The 13,557-nt window shown below is 38.9% G+C and overlaps 1 protein-coding gene across 11 annotated transcripts in view; it reads right to left on the bottom strand.

The window, feature by feature from the left end:
• The window catches only part of FNDC3B (fibronectin type III domain containing 3B), a 362,092-nt gene that overhangs the window by 47,219 nt on the left and 301,316 nt on the right, over nucleotides 1-13,557 (bottom strand). For 10 of the 11 annotated variants that reach the window (NM_022763.4, XM_017007062.2, XM_024453717.2 and 7 more), the window contains 6 exons: nucleotides 13,220-13,338; nucleotides 11,335-11,440; nucleotides 10,193-10,365; nucleotides 8,011-8,124; nucleotides 7,090-7,239; nucleotides 1,368-1,648 (listed from right to left, as the gene is read on the bottom strand). In NM_022763.4, coding sequence (NP_073600.3) covers nucleotides 1,368-1,648; nucleotides 7,090-7,239; nucleotides 8,011-8,124; nucleotides 10,193-10,365; nucleotides 11,335-11,440; nucleotides 13,220-13,338 — 943 coding nt within the window. Of the gene's footprint in view, nucleotides 1-1,367; nucleotides 1,649-7,089; nucleotides 7,240-8,010; nucleotides 8,125-10,192; nucleotides 10,366-11,334; nucleotides 11,441-13,219; nucleotides 13,339-13,557 lie in introns of those variants that run through there. The other variant, XM_017007064.3, reaches the window with a different exon arrangement.

Genomic DNA, 13,557 nt, shown 5'->3' with positions numbered 1-13,557 from the left:
GGCATACCAATATCTTAGTTATAAACATTAGCAAGCAAAAATATTAATTGAACTTGGTCCCTAATATTTAGTTTATGATTTCATGATATAAAATATAAAATGTACTATTATTAAATGATAAATACTGACTCATAAAATGTAATTCAGATTTAGTGAACAATGGATTAAAATTGGAAACAATTTAAATATGATAATTCATATTTGAAATTTTTTTCTATTTGTATATAAACAGAAATGGGTATGTAAAACTGTCCTACATGTTAACCAGAAATAAACTACTATAGAATGATATTGAACATACTTTGAATTTTTAAGGTTTTGATTGATTTTCCTTCATTTGGTAGCCTATTCATTATTTTGAAAAATCAGCCTCTACTTCAAGATGTAAAAGAAAAAGCAAGTATGAATTATTTTTACCTCAAGTATGTAATGTCCAGTTTATAATTTATTGATTGGCCAGCAAAGACTATCTAAAGTTTTTTTTTTTTCCCCAAGATCAAACATTTGCCTTTTCTAAAGCTATTCAATTTCCATCTGTCTAAAATGGTATCTTCAAAGCTATCTTATAAGGAAAAGGTGGCATTCTCCCAATGTGAGTTTCTTTTCACATTCAGCTCAATATACTAGCCTTGGCATATTAACACTGAATTAAATTATTTATGCTGCATTCATAAAATACTTTTTAAATAGGGTCTTGAGGTTTTACTATCCAAATCTAAGCTCACCTTTCCATAGTTCCTACACTACTAAACCATTTCATCTTCTCCATAACAGAACTATCCTCTGAGGTGCTTTCTGGTACGTGGAAGATGTTTTTGATAATTTCAACGGTTACCTGGCATTTAATTAGTAAACAATGATTCTCAACATGTGTTCCCTCAGTTGAACCCCTGAGCTCCAGATATTTTTTTAGAAGTCATTAAACAACTATAGGTTGTTTAATAAAAGTCAACGTATCTCCAATGCCATCCTTTTAGAAATCTTAAAAGTTTTACCATCATTTAAGCCACTGTTAAGGTCGGCACAATTTCTGGAAGAAGCCAAATTCTTGGGCTAACATATTGCCAAAGCCCTTTTATAATTTCTGACTTCAATGTTCAGAGGACTGACTTGAGGATTTGAGTCCACTCTGGGGTAGAGACGGTGCAGGTTAGAGTGGACACAAAACCGTCCAGTGAGTCCCTGAACCAGTGTGGCTTTTTCACAGGTCTTCTGGCCTGAGGGATCAAGGTGAGACAATACTCTGGACATCTGGGCTCTTAGAAACAGCTGGGAGATGACATCCACTTGGTCATTTTCCCCGAGAGGTTTACTTAGATCCCCAAGTGCTGATGTGCTGATGCAGATTTCTACTCCCTTGCACTCACCGGTAGGTGGTTTCTGGAAGGAGATCTTTCATAACATGCATGGTGGTGTTGCCCACGGTAATGCTAGTGTCTCCTAGATCAATGGTGTAAGCAAGGATTTCAGATCCGTTATTGCACGGCTCTTCCCAGTTCAGTACAAGGCACGCAGAAGGTGAATCAGGGTAGGCATCAAGGGGCTCCTCCTCCAGGACACAGAGAGTGGAGACGGGGTCAGGGGCAGACGCTGGCGTCTGGCAAAGGACAAGTTCACTGTACGGCCCTGCCCCTGCTTGATTGAAGGCCTACAAAACAGAACAGCAAGACAAAGGCCATATTACACCATTAGCACATTTTGATGCCTCTGAGTTAGCTGCCATTAAATAAATCTAAAGTAGTACACATTTCCACATATGCAGGTAGAAATAAATCCTAGAAAATGTCTACTATCTGATGACCACCTTCCAAAGAATGCTAACCACATTTTTTCCATTATTAAAGCAAAATATGGCCACCATCGTTTCTTATGACAAATAATTTAAAAATAATATTTTATATTTGCATGACCTATTTCAGTTTATACATCATCTTACACGATCTTCATAATAACCCCCTGTGGTAGATCTTAAATGGTAGGTATTCTTATCCGCCTTTTAGAGACAGGAACTCAGAGTCAGATGATAACTTAGGCCTCAGATTTAGAGGCAAAGCTGGGACCGGAATCCGGTTCATCTGACTTTTAAGTCTAGAGCTGTCCTGGAATAGCAATAGGAAAAGGCATCTTCTATCTTCCACATGAATAATAAACTCATCCCTGAAGTCAATCGTCAGCGCTTATCTGATTTTACCCAAGAGAAACAGCTGACACCTTGATCACTCCCAGGTCTTTCAAATGCTTATTCATCACTAGGTCTCCAAGATGCCACACTTATTTCTCCTCCTACCTTACCTCCTGCTGCTTCTCAATCACCTTTCCTGGTTGCCACCATCCCCTGAACTCTTAACGCTGGTGAGTATCAGCCCTCAGTACTTCGGTACCTCCTCTTTTCTACCTCTACTCAAACATTTGGAGATGTCGTCTTGTCTCAAGGAGTAAACGCCACTGATAACCTACTCCCCAATTTGGATGGGTGGCCCAGTCCCCTGCTTTGAATACTGGTCTAGGGTATCTGTATTCAACCACTGAGTATCTCCACTTGCATGTCCAACAGGCATCTCAAACTCAAATGTCCACACAGCTCCTCATCCCCATCCCATCCCTCCTTACAAAAACCTGACTGCATCTCCTGTGGTTTCCCTCCTCCTTCAGAGCACTCAAGTCATAATTAAGTCATCTCTGGACACCTTTCTTCCTCTCATACCCCTCTCCAGGCCATCAGCACATCCTGTATTACTCTAGTCCAACTACTCTCTCTCCCATCTGGTTATTCTAATGACCTCCTAGCTGGTATCTATGTTGGCCCTTGCCCAATAGTCTAAATTCACAGCAATCAGAGTGATTCAGTGAAAATATGAATCAGGATTATCGAGATTTTTGGTTCAAATTCCTTCAGTGGGTTTCCATCTTATTCAGAAAAAACTTTGAAGTTCTTACAAAACCCTACAGGACTATATGATCTGCTGTTCACCACCATTCCCCTTCAAAAACCCATTAGCACTGTGACTTCATTGCCTGCTACTCTCCCCTTTACTGACTCTGCTCCAGCTACACTGTCTTCCCTGCTGCTCCACAGGGACACCAAGTTTGCTGCCTCCTCATGGCCTTTGCACTTGGCTGCTCCTCCTGTCCAGAAAGCTTTTTCTCCAGACATCTGCACAGCTCACTCAATCACCTTCATTTGAGAGAAGGTCTGTAGGTGCCACCTGTTCAGCGAGCCCTCTCTGAACACATTTCAACTTTGCAATCCTTCCTCTGTGGTCTTCCACATTTCCTATTTCCCTTCTTTGCTGTACTTTACATCATGACACTTATCACTGACATAGTATATAGTACTCCTCTGATTAGAATGCAAGTTACATAAGGGCAAAGTTGCCTGTCTGGCTCACTGTTGTATTTCTGGCAACTGTACTTGATACAGAGTATGTGTTCAATAAATGTTATCAAAAAGATTTTCTTTCTTACAAAGAGAAAAACATTTGGCAGCTTTCTTACAAAAGTGAATGTACTCTAAAACTTAGTTTTCATTTAGCTTATTGGACAGCTTATGAGGTTGAATTACAAAACTAAAGGAGTTTGAGTTTTGTTTTGTTTTTTGTTTTTGAGACAGGGTCTGTCTCTGTCTGGAGTGCAGTGGCGCAATCTCAGCTCACTGCAACAACCTCTGCTTGCCAGGCTCAAGTGATCCTCCCACCTTAGCCTCCTGAGTAGCTGGAACCACAGGCACATACCACCACACCCAGCTAAGTTTGAGCTCTTAAATCAAGGTCTAAAACAAAACTTATAACTCCTTTGTTAATTTCAAAGAAGCAGGCTTAAAGCATTTATTTGCTATTAAATCACAGTTGAAACTCTACTGCAACATTTTGTCATACCCACTTCTGTTTCATTACAATACCTCAATACCTCAACTCTCTTTCTGGAAAAATTTTAACATGACAAATTATTTTATAAGTATGTATTTCGAGATTTTGGTACTGATATAAATGTATCACAGGGGCAGAAAAATAGGATATCATGGAGCCCAATGTTTCTATCAACTAGGGCTTTGTATCACCATATCACAGAAGGACAAGAACATGGCTTTTAAGAGTTGAAGCTTAGTTCAAACCTTGATTCCATCATTTAACAACTGTGTGATCTTAGGTTAGTTAATTTCTCTGAGCTTGTTTCCTCAGCTGTAAAATGGGGACAGTAATGCCTAATTCATAGAATTACAGTAAAGATTAAATCGGTTAATATGTAAAATGCTGGCAGAGTATCAGGCCAACAGTAGGAGCTACACTTTCTTCCTTCCCACTGGGAAAATTATGAACAAAATAGTATTTTCTCTATTTTTTCAAACACCTTTTTATTGTGTACTACTTTTATACTTACAGAAAAGTTGCAAAAATAGTACAGAGAAATTTCTGTCTATCTCCTACTCTGCTTTTCCGAAGAGAAACATGTTACAGAACTATAGAATAATGATCAAAACCAGGAAATTATCACTGGTGGCCGGGCACGGTGGCTCACACCTGGAATCCCAGCACTTTGCGAGGCTGAGGCGGGTGGATCATCTGAGGTCGGGAGTTCGAGACCAGCCTGGCCAACCTGGTGAAACCCCATCTCTACTAAAAATACAAAAATTAGTCAGGCGTGGTGGCAGGCGCCTGTAATCCCGGCTACTCGGGAGGCTGAGACAGGAGAATCGCTTGAACCTGTGAAGCGGAGGTTGCAGTGAGCCAAGATCGCGCCACTGCACTCCAGCCTGGGTGACAGAGCGTGACTCCATCTCAAAAAAAAGAAAAAAAAGAAAAGAAAAACATTATCACTGATACTATACTATTAACATACAGACCTAATCAGAATCTTACCAATTCTTCCAATGTTCTTTTTCTACTGCAGGATCCTACTTTCTTTTTAACTAGCTTGGCTCTATGGAAAACATTTCTTGATTTACACCACTTTTTATTAACAGTTTTCAAATGAAATTTAATTCAAAATCAACTTTTTGTAAATAATAGTATGCCTATAATATACAACATGCCCTATGAATGGAATTACGTTGGTACTTAATTAAAACAGTCCTGAAAATACAAAAATTCAAAAATTCCTGAGCAAAACAAGAAATGTTCCACCACATTTCTATAAAACACAGTACAGGTATTATAATAAATTTTTATTTTTTTGAGACAGGCTCTCACTCTGTCGCCCACGCTGGCCTACAGTGGTGCAGTCACAGGTCACTACAGCCTTGACCTGGCTCAAGTGATCCTCCTGCCTCAGGCTCCTGAGCAGCTGGGACTACAGATGCCTGGCTAATTTTTGTATTTTTTTTTTTTGTAGAGGAGGGGTTTTGTTATGTTGTCCAGGCTAGTCTCTATCTCCTGGCTCAAGAGATCAGCCGGCCTCAGCCTCCTACAGTGCTGGGATTACAAGTGTGAGCCCCCATGCCCGGCCAATATTTAAATTCTTAAGTGCCATATATTCAAAAAATATTGGGGTTTAACTTGACTTTGTAATCATGTTGAATGAAAATAATTCATATTTGGTCCACAAATAACAATAAATTGGTATAGTTTGAACAGACCCCCTTCCTGGCAATAGTCCTTTAGTGTGGCAATGGTAATCTTAAAAGTAGTACTCCCTTCATAAGATCTGACTCATTTTATTATAAATAAGCACAGACCTTTGAAAATATATTTCTACTCCTGTTAATACAACGAGGCAAGATTATGCAGGTACTATTCTTATTAATGTATCTTTTATAATGCAGCTTTGGGAAGTCAATGCTAAGACAACATAGACTCTGAAAGAGAAGGAGATATAATAACATTTTAAAGAAACACCAAAACTCAAAAACCATAATGGAGTGAAGCTCTTTACTGGGGTGGCAGACAGCTCTTTATTTATATCCTGCCTTGGTAGAAAAACAAGAGTGTGGCACATAATTTAACCTTTCCCCAGTGACTCAGCATCACTATTATAAATATCAGACAATTTGCTGTGACACTGACTCATTGTCAAAAGGTTAATTATGTCCCAGGTGCTTCATTCGAGAAGCAAGAAAGGTGTATAACAAAAGAGTTTAATCAGAAATGTTTCAAATACAGCAGACTTCTGAATTTAACAGAAATGCTTCAGTTGATCTGAAAAATTAAGTTATGAAGCGAATATTTTCTCCAAAGAGACCAGAGACATTGGGTGTACTTATAATAACGAATTTGATCCATGACTTAAATCAGGTGGGAACTTGACTTTGGCATCTTTGCTTCTTTATCTATTCAAATCTAAATGTGTATGAAGACAGAGCTCTTCAAGGTCAACAACCACATCTGATTAATCTTTGTATCTCTCTTCCTGATCTTCCTTTGATCCTGGTACAAAGTACTATAATGCTCAAGAAATGTTACTGAACAAATGGAAAGAGGAGGACAAAGAACTCTATTTTCTCAAGAGACTAAGGCTTTACACAGAAAAAATAATAATATAGCCAAGAGAGTAAAATAAAAGTAAACCCATGGTTATTGTCACTCTGAGGGGTTAGGCTATGAACCAATTTTTCTTGATGTTATTCTATCTGGACTCCCAAGTGGAAGCTTATAGATAACCAGCCTTGATAACCGTCACTGGGAGGTGGGAGGTGGGGTCCTGTAATCTAATGCAGACTAGTCCAGATTATTTTTGGCTCCATTTAACAGCTCGTAAAATAATTTTCTGTCTTTTACCAGTTCTAAGAGTCTTTCCCACTGAAATGTACATCTCAGGGGAATGAGACAGAAGGCTCCTTCCCTAAGGAGCTGTGTCATCTTTCCCTTGGACTTGGGTCATTTATTCAGCAAACTGATGAACAGACAAGATACAAGGGTGGTGAGAAGCAGAATGGAGAAGAATCTTATTTTGTTCTTAAGTTTCAGAATTTCCTAGAGAAGTGGAAATTAACTGCAAAACACCAAAACAACCAAATATATTTTTATTTAAATGGACTCTTTTTTTCCATATCATCCCTCCTGACAGCCTCCACCACAAGCCTTTGAGTGGGTTTCCCAAAGTGCCTTTCATGGGACAGCAGTCCTTGTGAGTAACATCTGAATAATGTCAACCTACCTGTAGTCTACAGCAATACTGTGCAGCAGGCAACAGGTCTCTTATTTCAAAACGGGTGTCTGTCCCATGATAAATGAGTTCTAAGGATTCTTCATCTTCTCCCCATTCCAACCTGTACTCTGAGATGTCAGCACCAGAACTATCAGGACTCTGGAAAGGCAGAAATGGAAGTAGTTAATAATGCCACTGAGAAGAGAATCCTACTGTGCTTGTATTCAATTAACTAAAATGGGAAAGAGAGCAACATGCCCCAGAATATTTCAAATACATATAAAAGAAAGGCACGATCACAAATATATATACCTACTATGTACCCACAAAATTTTTTTTGAGATTTAGAAATTTAAAAATAAAATAGGGCCAGGTGCGGCGGCTCATGCCTGTAATCCCAGCACTTTGGGAGGCTGAGGTGGGTGGATTGCCTAAGATAAGGAGTTCGAGACCAGCCTGGCCAACACAGTGAAACCCTATCTCTACTAAAAGTACAAAAACTAGCCAGGCATGGTGGTGGGCACCTGTAATCCCAGCTACTCAGGAGGCTGAGGCAGGAGAATCACTTGAACCAGGGAGGCAGAGGTTGCAGTGAGCCGAGATTGTGCCACTGCCCTCCAGCCTGGGTGACAAGATTGAAACTCTGTCACACAAAAAAATAAAATAAGTAAAATAAAATAAAATTTTTTACAAAAAGAAAGGCATGAGAAACCATTTCCTCTCAGTTTTGACTACAGTAAAACTTCCACAACCCTAAATAATATAAGCAAGTGGCAAGTGCCAAGGGTGATTACTATAGTACACAGAGCAAAAAAAAAAAAAAAATCATCTATATGTGCATTTTGGATTTGCAGCTTCCTTATAATTGGTATTTGTATTTGGGAGTAAAGTAGAAGAAACAGAAGTTGATGCAGAATATGCCTGACTTACCTCCCAACCCACTAAGACACATCCATCAGGTGTACAAGAAATACAAGGTGCTTTGCATTGTCCAGGAGGCCCTGCAGCAGTGGTAATTTCTGAGACATCAGAATAGGGACCATACTGAAAGAAAACACACGCACACACACGTATGTATATATGCGTGTATGTGTTTGTGAATGTGTGTGCATACAAAAGCTTATAACCAAATAAAAGCTAGGCTAACATCATCATCAACACAACTAATTAACAAATATTACCCAATGATTTTCACTTTCAATTCAATGTGTGTAAGTTTTTCTCCTATATACAGTCCCTGAGTAGTAGATGTCTGTCATTTTTTTAATTGTAAAATAATTAGTTGGTTGACAAAATATTTTCCCTTTCTTGGGACATGAAATAAAAATATGCTGATTTTTGACAAAACAGGGCAATCTGCTTTCATATTTCTCAGAGGACATCCAAGAAAACTAAGTCAGATGCCCACTGCAGTTTAATTTTTAATGAATAAAAATATACTTGGAATTGTTGGTGATCAAATTCTAGGTATTTCTTCTAGTTACCGGTATTTTCCATTTTGAAAATAAATGCTTCTGTAATGTTTTCTCAGTGTGTTCCCATCACCTCACCTATTCAAGGGTATCCACGGCAATCCTGATGTTACCATCAGTGACCACACTGCTCAGAGCCAGGAATTGCTAGAGACTTACCACACTTTGAGAGAGTCACAGCCACCTGAACCACCCATTTTAATGGTGGCATATTTGATACTTCAAAGGTTTGGAGCAGAGTAAAAACTTGCCAGGCTAACAAAATATATGACTGTCCTTGTCAAAATGAGAGAAAAAAGACGGCGGGGAGGGGGGAAACAAAAAACCACCTCTCAACATAACATGCAAAGATGCTGGGGAGTTGGGGAAGCTCTCTGAAATGGACCTCAGAAGGTGACTACAGCGATATATATGGTTAATTTCTAATACAACAGGAATAAACCCAAGCTGAAGATAGTTTCTTTATAGGATAAATCAGTGAAAGGGCTGAGAAAAGTACAGCTCACACCAGCCCAGTTGCACATTTATCTTTGTTGTGGCAGATAGTAACTGAAAAGTTGATGAGAGAATGGGGTAGACACAACAGTGTGCTCATCACTATCCATCTTCTTTTCGCTTACATGATTATAAGTTCAGGTACATAGGCGTTAATGTTCAGACTTTTTTGTTTTCACTTAAGTATCATTGTTGTGTCTGAAATTCTTTTCTATTGGAGAATTAGGAGAAATCCAGTTTTGGGCACTCTGCCTAAGGAATAGCCCTTCTTTTATTCCTTTACTTTCTTAATAAACTTGCTTTCACTTAAAACAAAAAGTCACTGCAAGTTGGGCTGTCTTATTTTTTTAAAAAATCATCAATTAATTAATTCTATTTATTTGCATGGAGCCCATCTACACAAACCACTGGCACTTTGGACGGGGCATTTAGCTGGCTTTACCCACACGCTTCTGCCCTTTTATGCTTCATCAATCTCTGAGCCCACCCAAAAGCCTCACAGTTACTGGGACTCCCACTGCTCATTATTCATCTCCCCCTAAATCCACATCATTTGGCAATTTCAAAGAAAAAAAGGACAACAACCTTTATGGATATAACATAGACATATATATTCTCAATTTTTGATAGCTCAACTTGACAACTCCAAATGGAGCAATAGAAGGAGAGAGTCCTGTAGTTTTCACGTGAAACAAAACAAAAACAAGCTGGTGTCCCTGGCCACTACCCTTCTCTAGTTGTAAAAACTGACCTAAGATGTTGCTGGTTCATTTAGACAAGACAGTATAAAACTTTTATTAGAACTATTATCTAATCCTAATTTCCCTGAACTGATAAAGTCAATAGAATAGGAAATTTTCCAAAAACTGTCGAAAATATCTACAGGGTGATATCCTTATTAACCTTGAGTGCTGTCTTCATAGAATGATATGAGGACAAAAGAAACAGAAAACTTCTAATGCTGGGTCTATATGAAATCACAACAATATCAACTCAGAATTAAGATTTACAGACACTGCATTAATGGTTGTCAAGGTTGCATCAAGACTGTCAAAAATTTCAGGAGGCTAGAGACAGAAGTGCTAGCACTTTGGGTTCTGATTATGCATTCTGATTCTGGTTATGGTGTATGGGCTTATACTCACCCCTCCATCATTCAGAGCCCTCACCCGGAAGCGATACACGGTTCCAGGAAGCAGGTTGCCGACGGTGCACTCCAGCTCTGGGCCATGGTACACTTCCGAGGCTACGTCTTCGGGCTCCGTCATCTCCACGCTGTACTCTGAGACCTCACAGCCACTTTCCGATGCAGGAACATCTGGGAATGAAGAATTTTTTTCATCTTAGAACACTTTGTGCTTCCAGTTGACCAAAGTGCACCAGATTTCACACAAGTTGAGCAAAATATCACATAGGTGGCCGGCCTCAGTATCTCCCTTACAAAAGAATCCATGCCCACCAAAAAAGAGATATAAAAATAAAAGTTTCTGAATGATGTTATCCATACTCTCCAAAGCGGGTCCACTGAAGTTTATTTAATTACATTGATAAAATAATCCCAAAATTATAGGAACATTAGATATATTTCTTCATATTCTAATGCTAGGTAAATGGAAGAAAAAGAGGGAAGAAAAATCTCTTTAATTGGAAACCAAAGGTCATGCTAAATCAAAATACAGGACCCCAAATTGGCACAATTTATTATACTTTAGACATAAGTGGTAGGAAAAAATAGTCTGCTAGAGAGTTCTGTACATTTGTACTTGTAATTATACATGTTGTAAACTGCTGGACACAACAGGAAACGCTAATACAGCTTAAATCAATGCTGTAAAAACATCAGGACCCACACAGGACAATGCAGCAGAGGTGGTTGCAAACAAAGACGAGAAAGAATTCCATGTGATCTTATAAACCATTCTTTGGTTTAAATTCTAAATGGAGCACAAAATTTTTTTCCCATGAATAAAGTTGAAAACTTTCTGAAAAAGACTGGCTGTTCTTGAAATACTCCCTAGAAATGTGTCCCCTGAAGTGCGGGGGATAAACCATGTGTGTGGCACCATCAGGAAGAGGAAGGTGAGGGACAGTGTTGCGGGTGTGGATGGGGGGAATGACACACATAAAAAACCTGGGTCAACATACTTCAAGAAGAATATGGACATCCTCAACAGACAAAAACGTATATGGTCTTTAGAAGAAAGCTTTGAAACTTAACTACAAAGCATAAGTCTTCATCTCCAATTGTCCAAATTGTCAATGTCAATGTGAAGGTTAGTTCACTCACCCCACTCTAAGTGGACTTCTTTGTGCTTTGGTCTACCCAAAACCCTCGGTGGTCGACATTGACCTGGTGCAATGCTTAGTGTGCGAACAGGGAGACTTTCAGAACACTGCAGGAGAAACACCAGAGAGAACCATCTCTTAGTTACTGTGAATTTATCAGACCTCTACATATCAGGCAAATTCCACCCCATAACTGCAAATGTTACCGAAAAGGGGTTACACACTAAATGTGTGCACATTATGGTATGCTTTTAATGTAATTAAGATCTTCATATAAATTTATGTGTGTGTGTTTTAAGGGTGGCTATAGACTTCATATGGCACTGGGAAAAACAAGAATGATTATTTTTGAAGTTAGATTAGCAGACATGAGTACTGTATATCCTAAGCACACAATTCTTTTCCTTCAAATCAAAATTAGAAAGACCCTTCATGAGGACAGAAGAGAACACAAAACGACAGCTGGATGAAATTTTAAAATGGTACCATAAATGGCCAACCACTCACATACAGAGCAGAAAAGCAAATAAACTCAATATTAATCAATTGATTCTGACATCAACCAGCAGGTACTGTTAATGCTAAAATAAGCAGTCCTTTATTTTGCAGGATCTGGTTGCGTAAGGCTAGTGGTATGGAAGCTGACCTACTTCCTGAGACGGGAGAAAATCAGGTAGAGCTATACAGCTCAGCCACATTCAGTTTTCTTCCTGAGAAGTGGCACAGAGGAAATGAACTCTATGCATTTGAGCAGTTCAGCCTCAGTGCCACCTTGTGTAGTGCCTCACACATAGGAAGGACCACTGATAATCTCAGCTTTGATTTGGATTTACTCCACCTGGGAGGCATTCCAGACAGCTTCGGCACTGTATAAAGATGGTCCAGCTGGACCTTCTCCTCACAGGCAGTGTCTACATGGGCAGTCTAGATGCCCTAGTACCATCCTTGGGGGCAAAAGAAAGTAAACACAAAAACTGATGTTGCAAGTGGGTTGACTAGAAAAGTTAGGCCTTCAAATGGCAGGTATTCTCTTGAAAAGTCAACCCAGCACAGGGCTGTAAGCCACCATCTCTCCTTCTCTTTCATTTTAAATGTTTAGTGGTTTCAAATCATAATGTTAAATATCTCTACAGTGAAAGTATCTTTTGGCATCTCGTTTCTCATTCACTTTTCTGAGTGTAAGTTAAAACCATTTAGATAACAATTATTTCTAGAGTACTCCATGTATATTTATTAGGTTGTTTTGCGCCTATGAGAGTACTATGTGGTTGAAACTAAGGCTCCTGACATGTTAACAGGTTAGTCTAAAGTCATATAAATAGTAGAAACAAAAGAATGGATGCTGCCTACAGATGTGTACGTTGGGTACCACACAACTTCAGGAGGTGCCACTCAGCTCAGTCATCATGGATTTATATTGTTTTTGCAACAACTTTCCAGCAGATGGCAGTAAAGTACCTTGAGGAAGGTATGTCTCAAATTCTTAAAATTGATAGATGTGGTAACAGCAGTGCTGTGCAGGTCTTATCTTTTTACTCTAAAATCTATAGTTTTTTAATCATTGCAATAACCGAGGTCTCCTTTATTTAGTCAATGCAAATTCCAGACAATTTTCAACTGTCACAGGTGATTATGTCAAAGCCTTCTGAGAAATGAGTGAGTGACAAATGTACCCGAAAATACCACAATTCAGTAGGGAATCATTTAGGCCTATCTTATACCTCTAAACAGCAATTCAGAAAGCTCTATTTTTCATTTCCTGACATGATACTATTAGGTTGCATTACCAAGATACATTGTTTAAACTGCAATTTGCTTCTGATGTTATAGACAGTTTGTCCGAATTTGATCAATGAGGTTTACTTTCATATGGAAACAAAACCAACCTGGCTGTGTCCGCCGGTACTGATGCAGCATGCTCGGAGTTTGTACAAAGTGCCTGGTTTCAAGTGGGTGAAGGTGTATTCGGTAGCCGACCCACTGTAGGCCACTTCCCACTGATTCGCTGTAAAACAAGACTTATGCATGACTTTATGCCTCTTGTAAAAATGTAGCATATCAGCCATTGCTGACAAGAAAAAGCTCTATGTTTTCATGAAAACCAACATCTTCTTTTTCTTTTTAAATAGCCAGAAAGCTCTTCCTTTTTCTTTTACAAAGTTAAATACCAAAATAACATTGAGTCATTTTTAATACTTAGTGTTGCTGGCTAGACTACCTATTA

This window comes from Homo sapiens, chromosome 3, assembly GCF_000001405.40.
Source record: "Homo sapiens chromosome 3, GRCh38.p14 Primary Assembly".
NCBI classification, from domain to species: Eukaryota; Metazoa; Chordata; class Mammalia; order Primates; family Hominidae; genus Homo; species Homo sapiens.
Note: the sequence above shows the minus strand (reverse complement) of the source record. Positions and strands in the feature narration are given on the sequence as shown.